Here is an 18,632-nt window from a genome sequence, read left to right as displayed (position 1 = left end):
GATTTTTACATTCTCTCATGTTAGAGCTTCCTGGATCCTTAGAAAGCGAATTCTGAACAAGCTCATTTCTGTACCTTAGACAGCACATACTCAAAAAAGAATTGGTCTGTACATTTCCACTTTATGTTTTAAAAATTTCTGTATCCAAGGTTTCTGAAAATCATATGAGTGAATTGCCTTGGGACAACTTCAGATCTGGTAAATAAACAACTTGCTTCCTCCTTATAAGCATAGATAGCTAGAAGCAAAACTCTTTTAGCCAGGGGTTGGAATTTCTCAAGAGAGAAATAAAAGATTCTTGACTTTCAAAGATTGCTAGTGATCTGAGGCAAAAGTTTAGAGCTGTTTTTCATTGACACTAGGATCTGTGATACAATTAGGCACCTTTCTCCCCTCCCAGCCCTTCCTTATCCAGAGGCTTATGGTAACTAGAAGACGACTAGTTGAAGCTCACATTCTTTAAAGTGGACACTCACCTTATCAGGAACTAATCTATGACTTCAAACATCTCTAAGATATAAGAACTAAAACCACCACATTTTAGGCCAAATAGAAATTAGCTAAGTCTCATTTTCCCCTTTGTGTCATCCAACTGACATAAAGAATATTATTGTCCATTAAGCACTCATCAATGAGGACACAGTGTAATCTCAGCACTTTGGAAAGCCAAGGTGGGAGGATCGCTTGAACTCAGGAGTTTGAGACCAGCCTGGGCAACATGGTGAAACCCCGTCTCTATGAAAAACATAAAAATTAGCTGGGCATGGTGGTATGTGCCTGTGCGCAGCTACTTAGGAGGCTCAGGCAGAAGGATCACTTGATCCCACAGAGGTTGGAGTGAGCCAAGATCATGCCACTGTGCTCCAGCCTGGGCAACAGAGTGAGACCCTGACTCAAAAGAGGGAGAAAAAAGGAGACCTACAACTCACTTTAACATAACATTTTGAAATTTTGAACACCAGGATGGTATTATGAATAAGTATTTTTCAAATTGGACTCATCCAACATCCTAAAATCAGTGCAATCAAAAGAGTAGGCATTTCATTGTCTTCTCAGAGACCAAAACTTGTGCAAAAAGTTAATATATTGATATATATTAAATGTGGTATAAACATGCTAAGAAATTCAGGTTATATACTGTATTAGTTTATTCTCACACCATTATGAAAAAAACTACCCAAGACTGGGTAACTTATAAAGAAAACTGGTTTAATTGACTCACAGTTCCACATGGCTGGGGAGGCCTCAGGAAACTTACCATCATGGCAGAAGGCACCTCTTCACAGGGCAGCAGGAGAGAGAATGAGTGCCCAGCAAGGCGGGAAGCCCCTTATAAAACCGTCACATCTCATGAGAACTCACTATCATGAGAACAGCATAGGGGACCTCCCCCAAGTCATGATTTAATTATCTCCCCCTGGTCTTACACTTGACATATGGGGATTATTACAATTCAAGGTGAGATTCAATGACACAGAGCCAAACCATATCGTTCCACCCTGGCCCCTCCCAAATCTCATATCCTCACATTTCAAAACCAATCAAGCCTTTCCAATAGTCCCCCAAAGTCTTAGCTCATTCCAGCATTAACCCAAAAGTCCAAGTCCAAAGTCTTATCTGAGACAAGGCAAGTCCCTTCTGCCTATAAGCCTGTAAAATCGAAAGCAAGTTATTTAGTTCCTGGATACAATAGGGGTACAGGCATTGGATAAATATTCAAAATGGGAAAAACTGGCCAAAACACAGGGGCTACAGGCCCCATGCAAGTCCAAAATCCAATAGAGCAGTTACGAAACCTTAAAGTTCCAAGATGATCTCCTTTGGCTCCATGTCTCATATCCAGTGATATGGACAGGAGGCAGGGAAATACTGCGTAGAAGAGGGCAGTTCCCTGGCAAAGGCCCCATCCTCAAGCCTAGAAACCCATGGCTCTAAATGGGAACAGGCATTCCTGTTTTATGCCCAATGTTGCCTTTTGGCCCACTATGCCCCCACCTATCCTGTACCCATATAAATCCCAAACCCCAGGCTCCATGAGCAGAAGAGCAGCAGAGAAGGAGAGAAGAGGAGCATCTGAACGTCAAGAGGAGTTCGTCTGGGGATGGTCAGAGAGGAGATCGGCTGTGGGATGGCCAAACTTCAGGGGAGGATCAACTTCCCACTCCATCACTCTTCCAGCTTCCCATCCATCCCACTGAAAACCACCTCAGTCACTCAATAAAATTCCTGTATTCACCATTCTTCAAGTCCATATGACCTGATTCTTCCTGGACACTGGACAAGGACCTGGGTACCAAGAGGGCAGGGCATAAAAGGCTGTCACCCTGACTCTCCACTGAGCTGGTTTAACACTTAGCTGTCTGCAGATGACAACTGCTAGAAAAGCATTAATTGTAACACAACCCTAGATGCTACCATGGGGCCAGAGCCCCAAAGCGCCTGCCCTGGCTCCTGCACCTGCCTGTCTGCATGATCCCCCTCCTATAAGGTGTTTGAGCATGCAGTGGCTGAGCAAACAAGCTGCACCCCTGTTGCAAGTCCTGTGAGGGGGACAGAGAACTATCCTGTTTCACCAGGTCATGCTGATGCAAGAGGTGGGTTCCCACAGTCTTGGGCAGCTCCACCCCTGTGGCTTTACAGAATACAGCCTCCCTCCTGGCTGCTTTCATAGGCTGGCATCGAATATCTGCAACTTTTCCAGTCACACGGTGCAAGCTGTCAGCTGAGCTAACATTCTGGGGTCTGGAGGACAGTGGCCCTGTTCTCATAGCTCCACTAGGCAGTGCTCCAGTGGGGACTCTGTGTCGGGGGGCTCCAACCCCACATTTTTCTTCTGCACTGCCCTAGCAGAGGTTCTCCATGAGCGCTACACCCCTGCAGCAAACTTCTGCCTGGACATCCAGGCATTTCCATACATCCTCTGAAATCTAGGAGGAGGTTCCCAAACCTCAATTCTTGTCTTCTGCAGACCTGCAGGACCAACGCCATGTGGAAGCTGCCAAGGCTTAGGGCTTGCACTTCTGAAGCAATGGTCTGAGCTGTATCTTGGCCCCTTTTAGCTATGACTAGAGTGGCTGGGATGCAGGGTACCATGTCCTGAGGCTGCACAGAGCAGGCCAGAAACCCATTTTTCCCTCTTAGGCCTCAGGCCTGTGATGGGAGTGGCCACCATGAAGGTATCTGACATGCCCTGGAGACATTTTCCCCATTGTCTTTGTGATTAACATCGGCTCCTTGTTACTTATACAAATGTCTGCAGCTGGCTTGAATTTCTCCCCTGAAAATGGGAATTTTTTTTCTATCACATAGTCAGGCTGAAAATTTTCCCAACTTTTATGCTCTGCTTCCTCTTGAATGCTTTGCTGCTTAGAAATCTTTTTCTGCTAGATATCCTAAATCATCTCTCTCAAGTTCAAAGTTCCACAGATCTCTAGGGGAGGGGCAAAATGCTGCTAGTCTCTTTGCTAAAGCACAGCAAGAACCACCTTTATTTCAGTTCCCAACAAGTTCCTCATGTCCATCTGAGACCATCTCAGCCTGGACTTTATTGTCCATATCACTATCAGCATTTTGGTCAAAGCCATATAAGAAGTCTCTAGGAAGTTCCAAGCTTTCCCACATTTTACTGTCTTCTTCTGCGCCCTCCAAAATGTTCCAGCCTCTGCCCGTTACCCAGTTCCAAAGTCCCTTCCACATTTTCGGGTATACTTAAAGCAGACCCCACTGTCTGTGTTACCAATTCACTGTATTAGCCCATTCCCACACTTCTGTGAAGAAATACCCAAGACTGGGTAATTTATAAAGCAAAGCGATTTAATTGACTCACACTTCCACATGGCTGGGGAGGCCTCAGGAAAGTTATAATCATGGCAGAATGCACCTCTTCACAGGGTGGCAGCAGAGAGAATGAGTGCCGAGCAAAGCAGGAAGCCCCTTATAAAACCATCACATCTCGTGAGAATTAACTCACTATCACAAGAACAGCATAGGGGAAGCCCCCACCCCGCCATGATTCAATTAGCTCCACCTGGTCCTGCTGTTGACATGTGGGGATTATTACAATTCAAGGTGAGATTCAGGCAGCAACACAGAGCCAAACCACATCATATACCAATTTTACAACAAAATTACTGTTAACTTTTTAAAGGTGTAACAAAAGTCTTCTTATATTTTAAAGATACATATTGATGCTGGGCCTGGTTGCTCATGCCTGTGATTCCAGCACTTGGAAGGTCAAGCAGATCACTTGAGCCCAGGAGTTCGAGACATGCCTGGGCAACATGATGAAACCCTGTCTCTACAGAAAATATATTTAAAAAAAAATTAGCTGGATGTGGTGGCATGAGTCTAGGCCCAACTACTCGGTAGGCTGAAGTGGGATGCTCATCTGAGCCTGGGAGGTCAAGGCTGTAGTGAACCGAGATCACATCACTGCACTCCAGCCTGGGTAACAGAGCAAGACCCTGTCTCAAAAAATAAATAAATAAAGATACTTATTGAAATGTTAATGGATGAAATGATAAAATGATGTCTGGGATTTACTTTAAAATAATCCAGGGAAGGAGTAGGGGGAATAGGGGATACTGATAAAAGAAGATTGGCCATATTTTGAGAATTGTTGAAGTGAGATGATGGGTTTATTATATTCTTTCCTCTACTCCTGTATGTGTTTGAAAATGTCCACAATGAAACGTTTAAATAATAGAGTTGTAAATTCATGAATGATTAGGTTTTGCTTTAATATATGAGTCTTTCCATAAACCCATTAAATTATTTAAAAATGGATTTCAATTCTCTTAATTGATCCTCCAAATCTATAGGTAAATGAATTTCTTCATCAAAATGTATTTACAACTTGCTTAACATTCATTTATTGAATGCATGTATTCACACAGACTTGGAAGTATTTATACTTTTAAAATCAGAATATATACAGTTTTCTATCTAGAAAGAATATGTAAGAAAAGATTCTAATGAAGCAGGCACTGCTGTATTGTGGGAGAGATCGACAGGTGACGTCAGGACACCTGGGAGTTCTAGCTCCAGCTCCACCACTAAGAAGCTAGGAGACGTAGAGCAACCAATCAAGTCCTCTGGGCTTCAGTTTCATCTATTAAATTACAGTAATGTTAGCTGCTCTATCTGCTGCACAGGGTGTTTGGGGATTCATATAAGTAGTAAATGTAACAGCCCCCTAAATGGTTAAAAAAAATAAAGTTGCTCTTTCTAGCAAGGCTTCATTAAAATGCACCACCAGAGTAGAATCTGAGGCAGTGTCAACATAGAGTTGGGAGCAAAGAAATCCATCATCTAGCCAATTGTTTTGCTATGTGACACCAAACAACCAGTTTGGCTGAATTTCTCACTGACTTGTCCAAAGGGAGCAGATGTTTCAGTCCTATTGTTGCAGTCCTTGGAAGACAGACCTTTGCCACGTGTGAAGTCAGGTACGGGGCTGAGCATCAGGCATTATGCTGGGTTGCTCTGCAGGGCTCAAGCTGAGTGCTGATGAGGCTAAAGGGAGGGGACAGTTGGGTAGATAGTGTCAGCACAGAGTCAATCAGGACCCTTAGGACCCTGTTAGAGACATTAAAAGACAAACAGCAGGAACCTGTACCAACAGCAAGCAGGAGAAGCCCCTTCTCTACCAGGGTCCTATATAGATTGGTGCAGAAGTAATGGCAAAACCACAATTACTTTTGCACCAATCTAACACATCTTGCTAGCTCCAGATTGTTTTAGAAGCTGGCAACTTTCTGAAATATATATCCTCAAAGCCTCTTTCCTTTGTTCTGTGTTTCTTTCATCTCCATTTGTAATGCATTTAGCCCATTTTTGGCAGGAAGGCCTCTCTGGTGTGTGCTGGGGAGAACTGTCCAAGGAGCTGAAACTCTGCAAGTTTCCGTTCTACATAGACAGAGAGGGTGAGGCACTTGGAACCAAAAGATATGGGGAAATTCAGCCCAATAATGGTTTTCATCCCTTGAAGATGACAATATGGTTTTGGTTTTTGTTTTTGAGATGGAGTTTCGTTTTTGTTGCCCAGGCTGGAGTGCAATGGCATGATCTCTGGCTCACCACAACTTCTGCCTCCCAGGTTCAAGTGATTCTCCTGCCTCAGCCTCCCGAGTAGCTGGGATTACAGGCATGTGCCACCACACCTTGCTAATTTTGTATTTTTAGTAGAGGTGGGGTTTCTCCATGTTGGTCAGGGTGATCTCAAACTCCCACCCTCAGGTGAAACATCCGCCTCGGCCTCCCAAAATGCTGGGATTACAGGCGTGAGCTACGGTGCCTGGCCGACAATAATGTCTTAATTTATTAGAATACTTGCGTCATTTCTTTATGAAACTTTCACAGTTGCACAAACAGCCATTCTTCTCGCTCTGCCATAGAATGAAGGTAATGTTCCATTGGAAATAAGACAAAACTCTTTCCCCTTCTTTTCTTTTCGAGCCTCAACAAGCAGCTTATATTAACCAATGCCTGCCTCTATGAAGTCGTGCAATCTTGCATAAGTCACAATGTCTCAGAGCAACTTTCTTCCTAATCAGCAAGATGAGTGGGTTTGGTGAGCTTCTCCTATCATCTCTGTGATATTCTGAAGTTCTCATTCTCTGGTTCTTACCAGAATGCTTAGAAAAGAGAAGCTTTTATAATCTTGAACTCCTGAGCTCAAGTGATCCTTCCACCTCAACCTCCTGAGATACTGGGACTACAGGTGGGCCACCATGCCTGGCTAATTTTTTAATTTCTTATAGACACAGGGTCCGCTATGTTTTCCAGGCTGGTCTTGAACTCCTGGTCTCAAGCGATCCTCCTGCCTCAACCTCCCAAAGTGCTGGTATTACAGGCGTGAGCCATTGTACCCAGCAAATAATTTTTCTTATAATTATTTTTATTCAAAAATCTTCCTAACATGCATTATAATCCTTCTGATGAATTCAAATTCCAAATTATAACACTAGCAAATTAAATCTAACAGACTATTAAAAGAATCAGGCCAGGCATGGTGGCTCACACCTGTAATCCCAGCTCTTTGGGAAACTGAGGTGGGAGGATCACTTTAGCCCAGGAGTTCAAGACCAACATAGGCAACATAGTGAGACCTCATCTCTACAACAATAAATAAAAAATAAAAAAACAACTGAGCATGGTGGCAGGTTCCCATGGTAGCAGCTACTTGGAAGGCTGAGGTGGAAGAATTGCTTGAGCCAGGGAGGTTGAGGTTGCAGTGAGCAATGATTGTGCCACAGATCAAGACCTTGTCTCAAAAAAAAAAAAAAAAAAAAAAGGATCATATATCAAATCAAAGGAGAATTTATTCTGGAAATGCGAGGAAGGTTTGATATTGCTAAGTGCATTAACATAATTTGGTATTGGCCAGTTGCAGTGGCTCACACCTATAATCCCAGCCCTTTGGGAGGCCGAGGTGGGCAGATCACTTGAGTTCAGGAGTTTGAGACCAGCCTGGGCAAAATGACGAAACCCCATCTCTACCAAAAATACAAAAAATTAACCCGGTGTTGTGGCATGCACCCGTAGTCACAGCTACTCAGGAGATTCAGGTGGGAGAATCACTTGAGCCTAGGAGGCAGAGGTTGCAGTAAGCTGAGATCACGCCACCACACTCCAGCCTGAGTGACAGAGTGAGATATATATATGTGTGTGTGTGTGTATATATATATATATGTGTGTGTGTGTGTGTATATGTGTGTGTATATATATGCACATATATACACACATATATGTAAAATTGGTATCAGTAAGACTAAAGAGAAAGAATCTGTAATTATCTTAGTTTATGATAAAAAGACAATTGATAAAATTCACATATTTTTTCTTATTCCTAAACTAGTACTATAAGGAATTTTTATTTATATGGTCTTAAAATTTGCCTTAAACCAATCGCCAACCTCATTTTTTTTTTTTTTTTTTTTTTTGAGACAGGATCTCACTCTGTAGTCCAGGCTGGAATGCAATGCCGCAGTCTCGGCTCACTGCAGCCTCGACCTCCCAGGCCCAAGCAGTCCTCTGGCCTTAGCTCTTCATGTAGCTGGGACTACAGGCATGTGCCACTATGCCTGGCTAATTTTTGTATTTTTTGTAGAGACGAGGTCTTGCCATGTTGTCCAGGCTAGTCTCAAACTCCTGAGTTCATGTGATCTGCCCATTTTGGCCTCCCAAAGTGCTGGGATTACAGGCATGAGCCACTGCGCCAGGCTGCCAACTTCATTCTTTAATAATGGAATTCACAAAAACTATTCATGTGTCTGTCCATGGTTCTTGAATCTCCTAAAACTATATACAACACTTTGTATGTCTATCTTTCTAGAGTTCGCATTAATCAAATACTTAAAGGGATAGGACATACCAAAAATTCTATAGAGGTGTTACCATTAGTATCAGGAAGAGGGAAAGGAGCTTGCTATTTGCTATTACCACTATTATTTAATAATATTCTGGAATTCCTGGCTAATGCAATAAGACAAGAAACAGAACCAAGAAGCACAACTATTAGACATTAAAAAGATTAAATTATCATTATTTGAGGATGATGTGATTATAGTAAGTTCTTTAGATTGCAAGGCATAGAAGCATGCTTAAGTTATATTAGTTTTACTTATCAGTTTATTATGAAGATACGTGGGAAGTCAAGAGGAGAGGAATCAGCCCCATTGAGTGGTATGTTGCCTGGGACAAGGGAATATGTCTAATGATCTGATGGCAGATGTCCCTTGTTCTTCACTGCTGTGCTACACCACCAAGGTGATTGATCTCCTATTTCTGCTATAATTAACTAATTGGCAGAATCTATATGTCTCTTCTTTGTAAACAAACTTGCTTTTTCCTGCTCATATGGCCAAACCCAAGTCATCCTGACTCTGGGGCCAACCCTCCTATTAGTTTAAGGGAAGTGAGAAGAAAAAATTCTCATTCTTGCTGTTGTTCAGGAATATCCACAACATTGTTCAGGACCACAATGCTTCAACCAATTTCTGGAATGTGCTATAATACTGAACACAGCCATCGCTAAACCTAATCCATGTGTATTTATTCACTTCAATGCTTCATTGGGAAAATCCAACTATCCATTGGCTTTCGTATGGGGAAGGATAGCAGTTTCACTAACGAAGTCAAACTTGGGATATGACAGCTTCTCTTGGTAATTTACCTGGCTTTTAGGCTCACGCAATCTGTTCCCATACATACTAAGTAATAATAATTATAATAATGATAATAATAGCTATTACTACTCTTTGAAATGGGGGCTGGGCGAGGTGACTCACACTTGTAACCCCAGCACTTTTGGAGGCCAAGGTAGGAAGATCACTTGAGACCAGGAGTTTAAGACCAGCCTGGGTAACATAGTGACATCCTGTCTCTACAAAAAATAAAAAATTTAGCCAGGCATAGTGGTGCACACCTGTAGTCCCAGCTACTTGGGAGGCTGAGGTAGGAGGATCACTTGAACCTAGGAGTTGGAGGCTGCAGTGAGCTAGGATGGCATTGCTGCACTCTAGACTGAGCAACAGAGTGAGACATTGCCTCAAAAAATAATAGTAGTAATTAATAAATAAGAAATAGCCTAATGGTTAAGAGTATGACCTCTGGAGCCAGAATGGATTCAAATCCCAGCTTCATCACTTGCTAGCTGTGTAATATTGGACAAGATATTCAACCTCTCTGTGCCTCGGTTTCCTTGTTTATAAAAATGAGAATGATGGAGTTGTTTTGAGGATTAAATGAGTCATTGCCTATAAAGCACTTAGATTACCTAGTTAATACCATATAAATTGTTTGTTAAATAAATAGCTAATGCTTATTGAGCACTTACAATGTGCTTGACACTATGCTAAGTATTCTGCACGCATTTTTTCATTTAAATCCGATAATCACCCTATAATGATGACTCTCACAATATAACAGGGTGTTTAAAAGGGACTCTTTCTGTCTAAGTTTCAGCTGGGAAGAAAATAATACTAGCTAGAATTTCCACATTCCAAAGTGTGATGCTAACTGACTTCTGCAAGACTTGCAAAGGAGGTGATTAAGAACCAGCTTTGAGCCTGAGGTTAAAATACCCAGGAAGGGGAGTATTTTGGGGAAAGGGCATAGTAAATGAAAAGAGGAGAGTAGTTCCCTGACTACAAATCAAGTGAGAGGGCAATAAGGAGAGACTTAGAAAGCTCACCCTGTGTCTCCTGGAGTTCGGGGACTCAAGGGTCTAGTATCTTGTGCCTGCCGTTTGATTCTGCAAAATCTAAAGAACTAGGACTTCCAACCTGTGGCTAGAGCAAGGACAGCTGCTTTCATAGGAGCAAGTTGACCTGCCAGAGATGGCAGGGCAGAAGTACGCGATTTCCCTGGGCAGCATACTCACATGGGATAGGGCAAGCCTGGGAGTCATTTTACAAGGGACCTGACGTCAGTGACATGGGACCTTAATCAGAAAATAGGGGGTGGGAGGTCACTGAAGCTTGTAAGTGACCAGCCCCAAGACAGCCATTCCTGTGTTGGGTGCTGCTAGTATGTTCCCAAGTAGGGGTCTCCAAAGAGCCAACAGAAACATCGCATGTAAGAAAGAGTCAACTTGATCATCTGTCAGCCCCAGAGAACTCCAGCCACAGCGTCAGTCAAGAAAAATCACTGATGGAGCATGGTGGCTTGTGCCTGTAGTCTCACCTACTCTGGAGGCTAAGGAAAGAAGATCACTTGAGGCCAAGAGTTTGAGACCAGATTGGGCAACATAGCAAGACCTCATCTCTAAAAATAAATAAATAATAGCCGGGAGCAGTGTCACTTGCTGTAATCCTAGCTACTCGGGAGGCTGAGGTGTGAGGATCGCTTCAGCCCAGGAGGTCAAGGCTGCAGTAAGCTATGATCACGCTGCTGCTCTCCAGCCTGGGGAAAGAGACACAGTCTCTAAAAAAATGAAACAAAAATCCCAGAGGGGTCGGCTGCTCTGGTTGGGGGTTGGGGTGGGAGAATGGGGGTTTGGGATTAGGGAAAACATAGGTTTGAAAGAGAAGAAGACAACCAGAACCCAGCCCTTTTCTCTTTGCAGATTTATGTAATCAATCAGTGCTGACGTCAGGGAAAGAGAAAATGAAGCTCAAATTGAGATTTTTACATAGGACTAGGCATTTCAATTACTGAAATGGGACTGTTTTGCAGTTACATGTGATAGAGATAGTAAAGTAACTGGAGTAGTCCTAGGACTACCTTAGATTTCATCCCAGGGACAGAAAAAGGCTAGCCCTACTGAGTAGGGGAAAGAAAGCTATTTTTCACTTGTAACCCATGGAATCTGATTCTTCAAACAAGATGGTGGCGGTAATAATGATAATAACAATAACAACTCTTAACATTTACAGAGCTTACTATGTGCCAGTTCAGGTTTAAAGCTTATAACATGTCTTTGTTCATTTAATTTTCACAACAATCCTAGGAGGTAAACCTATGGAGTATTGTAAGACCGATGGACAAAAAAAAACCACTGATGCTTAGAGGAATCAAGTACCCGCCCATGGTAATAAGCTCAGAAGTGGCAAATCTGGAATCCATTTGATGTTAGCACACTCAACTGTGACCCCTGGCAGATCACCTTCTGCCCTGAGCAACTTGTGAGCACAATAGCAAGTCAGAAGCTGTCTCATATGGACATAGGTGTGATTGAAAAGGGGCATCGACTTACTCCAAAACCCCCACGATTATCCTCATATCCCACACTTCCTGTGGGCTCCACACAGTACCCTGATCTACAGGGACCTCTCTAACTCATGAGACCAGTGGAAAATGTTCCTGAGTAGGTCTTTTTTGGAAAGACTAAGGGAAGATTCGTGACATACTGCTGTGGTTTTATAGCAGCCTTCTTGAAAGATATCTAGCCTTTCCTTTCCTTGAGAGTGCCTTGGATTTTTTAATTAACTTAAGTCTGGGACTTGCCTGAGGGCCTGGTACTCCTTGCTCTGTTGAGTTTGAATTGGGTACAGAATCCTGTTTGTCAGGTCTGAGGTTTTTCTTCTGATACAATCAAACAATCCTTAGCCTTACCTGATAGTCTTGTTCCTGTGCTCCTCTTAATTGATAAGCCAAACCGTGGGGTCCTGAGCCAATCCCATGCCCACTTGGCTCCCAGCGCTTCACAGCTGCAGCCCCCATGGTGGCATATCCCATGTGGCTTTAGTCTTACAATACCCACTACCTGGACCCTCCTGTCAAAGCTCCTCTCATCCCCATTGTAGTCAGTAAACTGATTTTTGTTTCAAGTTTTTGAGGTAAGATATGCGATGATAAGCAAGGATAAACTGGGCGTTAAGAGTTAAGGTAAGGTCCAGAGTTTGAAAGATAACAAAAATCAGCTGGGCATTTCAATCGCTTGAGCTTGAGATTTCCAAAGGTAGTATGAATGTCAAGATTTTCTTACTATAAAAAAGAATGTCTCCTAATGACTTATACCTTTATTATTATACCTGAAGGATTAGGAATAAAATCACATACAGTTAGGAAGACAGACATTGACAAATAGGTAAAAATAAAATACTAATAAACATAGCCAGTTGAGTGTGGTGGTTCACACCTGTAATCTCAGCACTTTGGGAGGCCAAGGTGGGCAGATCACTTGAGGCTAAGAGTTTGACACCAGCCTAGCCAACATGGTGAAAACCCATCTCCCCTAAAAATACAAAAATTAGTCCGATGTGGTGGTGCATGCCGGTAATCCCAGCTACTCAGGAGACTGGGGCATGAGAATTGCTTGAACCCAGGAGGCAGAGGTGCAGAGAGCTGAGATCATGCCTGCATTCTAGCCTGGGAGACACAGAGAGACTCTGTCTCAAAAAAAAAAAAAAAAAAAAAAAGCCACATGGCATATATTAAGCCATTATGAACAATTCGGTACTGGTGTATGAAGAGATAGAGATAAATAAAAAAGAACATAGAGACTTCAGAAATAGTCTTGAATATTAATATTTTGTCTAAGATAAAGGCTAGTTCCAATTCAGAAGGAAAATAAATGGTGTTGAGACACTTGGCAAGCTATATGGGAAAAAAAATCAAGTTTCAATTCCTACTGCACTCCTAATTAAACAATAAAATCCAGATAGCTCAAAGATTTAAAGATAAATGTAAAACCATAAAAGTACTAGAAGAAAACATGGAAGATTTTTTTTTTTTGTTTATAGTCTTAAATTAAGAGAGGCCTTTCTTTTTTTTCTTTTTTCTTGAGACGGAGTCTTGCTCGGTCACCTAGACTGGTGTGCGGTGGCACAATCACAGCACACTGCAGCCTTGACCTCCTTGGCTCAAGCGATCCTCCCAAAGTGCTAGGATTACAGGTATGAGCCACTGTGCCCGACCAAGGCCTTTCTAAGTATGGGACAAAAGACATAAGGAAAAAAATACATTTGGCTATGTAAATTAAACATTTCTACATGAAAAATTACCATAAACAAAGTTGAAAAGCAAAGACAAACTCAGAAAAAAATATTAGCAAGTATGATAGAAAAGGAGCTAATTTCCAAGAGTGCTTAGGAAGGACAGACAAAAACAGAGACAGAAAGGCAATGAAAAAAGCAAGAAAGGAAGGAGAAGATCAGGGAAGGAGAAAGGAAGAAGGAAAGAAAGAAGAAAAGACTTGGCAAGACTTGAAACAATTGTTCACAGAGAAACACATATTTGTGTAAACACAACAATATACTCATATTCAGTTGTAATCAAAGAAACACAAAATTTTAAAACAATGCGTCATTTTTAACCCATCAGAAAACTTTGTAGTCCATAATATTAGCACAGATATGGGGAAACAATCACTCTCTTACAGTGTGAGAAAATACATTAGCACAGTCTCTGTGAGGAACAATTTGTTAACATTCAAAAATTTTATACACTTAAGTTAAATACAAGCCAACCACAGTGGCTCACACCTATAATCCCATAACTTTGGGAGGCCGAGGTGGGCAGATCACTTGAGGTCAGGAGTTTGAGACCAGCCTGGCCAACATAGTGAAACCCTGTCTCTACTAAAAATACAAAAATTAGCCAGGCATAGTGGTACACGCCTGTAATCCCAGCTACTTGGGAGGCTGAGGCAGGAGAATCACTTGAACCTGGGAAGCAGAGATTGCAGTGAGCCAAGATCATTCCACTGTACTGCAGCCTGGGTGACAGAGTGAGACTCTGTCACACAAAAAAAAAAGGTAAAAAAAGTTAACTCCAAATGTCCTTTGACCTACAAGTGTTTCCAAAAATTTATGTTAAGATTCATAAAAACCAAATGAATAGTGATATTCATTACAGCATTTTTAGTAACAAAATGCTTGAAACACCTACATTTTTATCAATAAGGACATAGTTTAATAAATCATGGTACAGGCCAGGCATGGTGGCTCACGACTATAATCTCAACACTTTGGGAGGCCAAGGTGGGTGGATCACATGAGGTCAGAAGTTCGAGACCAGCCTGGCCAATATGGTGAAACCCCGTCTCTACTAAAAATATAAAAAATTAGCTGAGCATGGTGATGGATGCCTGTAATCCCAGCTACTCGGGAGGGTGAGGCAGAATTGCTTGAACCCAGGAGGCGGAGGCTGTAATGAGCTGAGATCACACCATTGCACTCTAGTATGGGCAACAAGAGCAAAATTCCATCTCTCACACACACACACACACACACACACACACACACAAAAAAAAAAAAAAGCCGGGCGTGGTGGCTCATGCCTGTAATCCCAGCACTTTGGGAGCCCAAGATGGGCAGATCACGAGGTCAGGAGATCGAGGCCATCCTGGCTAACACGGTGAAACCCTGTCTCTACTAAAGATTCAGAAAAAATTAGCTGGGTGTGGTGGCGGGCACCTGTAGTCCCAGCTACTCAGGAGGCTGAGGCAGGAGAATGGTGTGAACCCAGGAGAAGAAGCTTGCAGTGAGCCAAGATCGTGCCACTGCACTCCAGCCTGGGCGACAGAGTGAGAGTCCGTCTCAAAAAAAAAAAAAAAAAAAAAAAACCGCATTGCCAAGTCAATCTTAAGCCAAAAGAACAAAGCTGGAGGCATCATGCTACCTGACTTCAAACTATACTACAAGGCTACAGTAACCAAAACAGCATGGTACTGGTACCAAAACAGAGATATAGATCAATGGAATAAAACAGAGCCCTCAGAAATAATGCCACATATCTACAACTATCTGATCTTTGACAAACCTGACAAAAACAAGCAATGGGGAAAGGATTCCCTATTTAATAAATGGTGCTGGGAAAACTGGCTAGCCGTATGTAGAAAGCTGAAACTGTATCCCTTCCTTATACCTTATACAAAAATTAATTCAATATGGATTAAAGACTTACATATTACACGTAAAAACATAAAAACCCTAGAAGAAAACCTAGGCAATACCATTCAGGACATAGACATGGGCAAGGACTTCATGTCTAAAACACCAAAAGCAATGGCAACAAAAGCCAAAATGGACAAATGGGATCTAATTAAACTAAAGAGCTTCTGCACAGCAAAAGAAACTACCATCAGAGTGAACAGGCAACCTACAAAATGGGAGAAAATTTCTGCAACCTACTCATCTGACGAAGGGCTAATATCCAGAATCTACAAGGAACTCAAACAAATTTACAAGAAAAAAACAAACAACCCCATCAACAAGTGAGTGAAGGATATGAACAGACACTTCTCAAAAGACATTTATGCAGCCAAAAAACACATGAAAAAATGCTCACCATCACTGGCCATCAGAGAAATGCAAATCAAAACCACAATGAGATACCATCTCACACCAGTTAGAATGGCAATCATTAAAAAGTCAGGAAACAACAGGTGCTGGAGAGGATGTGGAGAAATAGGAACACTTTTACACTGTTGCTGGGACTGTAAACTAGTTCAACCATTGTGGAAGTCAGTGTGGCGATTCCTCAGGGATCTAGAACTAGAAATGCCATTTGACCCAGCCATCTCATTACTGGGTATATACCCAAAGGATTATAAATCATGCTGCTATAAAGACACATGCACACGTATGTTTATTGCGGCACTATTCACAATAGCAAAGTCTTGGAACCAACCCAAATGTCCAACAACGATAGACTGGATTAAGAAAATGTGACACATATGCACCATGGAATACTATGCAGCCAGAAAAAATGAAGAGTTCATGTCCTTTGTAGGGACATGGATGAAACTGGAAACCATCATTCTCAGCAAACTATTGAAAGGACAAAAAACCAAACACCACATGTTCTCACTCATAGGTGGGAACTGAACAATGAGAACACATGGACACAGGAAGGGGAACATCACACTCTGGGGACTGTTGTGGGGTAGAGGGAGGGCGGAGGGATAGCATTAGGAGACATACCTAATGCTAAATGACGAGTTAATGGGTGCAGCACACCAACATGGCACTTGTATACATATGTAACAAACCTGCACATTGTGCACATGTACCCTAAAACTTAAAGTATAATAATAATAAAATAATAAAAAAAAACATGGTACATTTATCCAATGGAATACTATACAACTGTTTAGAAGACTGAATTCCAGCATTATGAATTGATACAGCATTGCCTCCACAATATATTGTTAAGTAAAAAAGTATAATCTGTTGAACAATGTGAAGAGTATGCTCTAATTTGTGCTTATAGAAAAGGAAGCGGGCCATTTCTACATAAACATCTTTGTATATGCATATATGTTTGTTTTTTTTTTTAAAAAAAAACCTCAAGCTCATTTTGGAAGTAAAAATGGTATAAACCATCTAAAGAGAAAAACACTTTAATCCTTTATGTAATGGCAACAACAACAACTGTATCATCAACAAATTGTGATTAAGGATATCCTTGATTGATTATTTTTTATCTAGCTCTTGTATTGAAAGTTTTATTTTTAAAAAATATTATTTTTTTCCCCAAGATGAGGTCTCACTCTGTTGCCCAGGCTCTAGTGCAGTGGTGCAATCATAGCTCACTGCAGCCTTGAACTCTGAGACTCAGATGATCCTCCTGCCTCAGCCTCCCGAGTAGCTGGGACTACAGGCATGCACCACCAGCTTGGCTAATTATATTCGATTTTATTTTTTGGAGAGACAGGGTCTCACTTCGTTGCCCAGGCTGGTCTTAAACTCCTGGCTTCAAGCAATCCTCCTACCTTGGCCTTCCAAAGTGCTGGGATTATAGGTGTGAAACACTGCACCTGGCCAAAAATATAAATTTTAAATATAAGCATGCTTTCTCTGATTTCCTTTTTTCTTTTAAAAACAAAATAATTTTTCTTTTTTAAACTTCTTTCGTTACATAGTAAGTTCCAGTTAATCATGGTTTACTACATATGTTTGCTTAAGCAGTTAGAAGGACCACAAAAGGCAGGATGGAATTACCTTTGCAGATAAACAGAAAATCTTCCAGAAGCCTCTAGAGCACCCTTGCTTTTTGCAATTTTTCTTTCTTTCTTTCTTTTTTTTGATATGGAGTTTTGCTCTTGTTACCGAGGCTGGAATACAATGGCACGATCTTGGCTCACCGCAACCTCCCCCTCCCGGGTTCAAGTGATTCTCCTGCCTCAGCCTCCCGAGCAGCTGGGATTACAGGCAAGTGCCACCACACCCTGCTAATTCTGTATTTTTAGTAGAGATGGGGTTTCTCCATGTTGGTCAGGCTAGTCTTGAACTGCCAACCTCAGGTGATCCGCCCACCTCGGCCTCCCAAAGTGCTGGGATTACAGGCGTGAGACACTGTGCCCAGCCTTGCAGTTTTTCATCAAGGGCAGAGGACAATGATGAAAGGCAGGGGTCTCTACTCCAGGACCTTCTGCCAACAGGCCAGGGAGAGTTCTCAGGGAACTAGTCGGCAACATTGAATATGGAAGTCATGGTGACCTTGATGGTCTAAAATACTATAATCTAGTTTCTGCAAAAAAGGCTTAACTTCATAAAATACTTAATAATATTTAAGTATTATTATTTTATTAATGCTTTGATAAAAGCATTTAGAAACTAGGATAAGTTCTCACTTCCATAAATAAGTGTTGCCCACGTCAAATTTGAGCCATTTTCCTGGAGCATGTCTCAGACCCTGTTATGACTGGCAAGTAGAAAATGAGAATACGCTAGTCTTCAGACATGTTCATTTGATAGTTTTCATCACGATACATTTAGCAGTCATAGAAATAAGAGGAAAATATTTAAGTTGGTTCTCTATGAACCTTAATTTTCCATCTGCAGCTTAATAGCTAACTAAATATTATAAATACTTAACGAAATGGTCTTGGTCTTAGGCAGTGATTCTTCACTGGGGGAGATTTTTACCTCCAGGGGACATTTGGCAATATCTAGAGACATTTTTGGTTGTCACAACCAGGGAACTGTTTCTGGCATCTCTAGTGGGTAGAGACCAGGAAGGCTGCCAAACATCCTACAATGCACAGCACAACCCTCCACAGCAAAGAATTACCCAGTCTAAAATGCTACAGGCCAAGGATGGGACGCCGTGGCCTTTTTGTTCCTAGTGTAATAGGTGAAGTATCCCTGCTTGAACTCAAGCTCAGGAGAAAATCCAACCTTCCTTTGAGTTAAAGTCATCAATTCATTGTTTATGAACTTAATACAGTTCTAAGAATGATC

Source organism: Homo sapiens, chromosome 8 (assembly GCF_000001405.40).
Source record: "Homo sapiens chromosome 8, GRCh38.p14 Primary Assembly".
NCBI classification, from domain to species: domain Eukaryota; kingdom Metazoa; phylum Chordata; class Mammalia; order Primates; family Hominidae; genus Homo; species Homo sapiens.
This window is presented reverse-complemented; position numbering follows the sequence as displayed.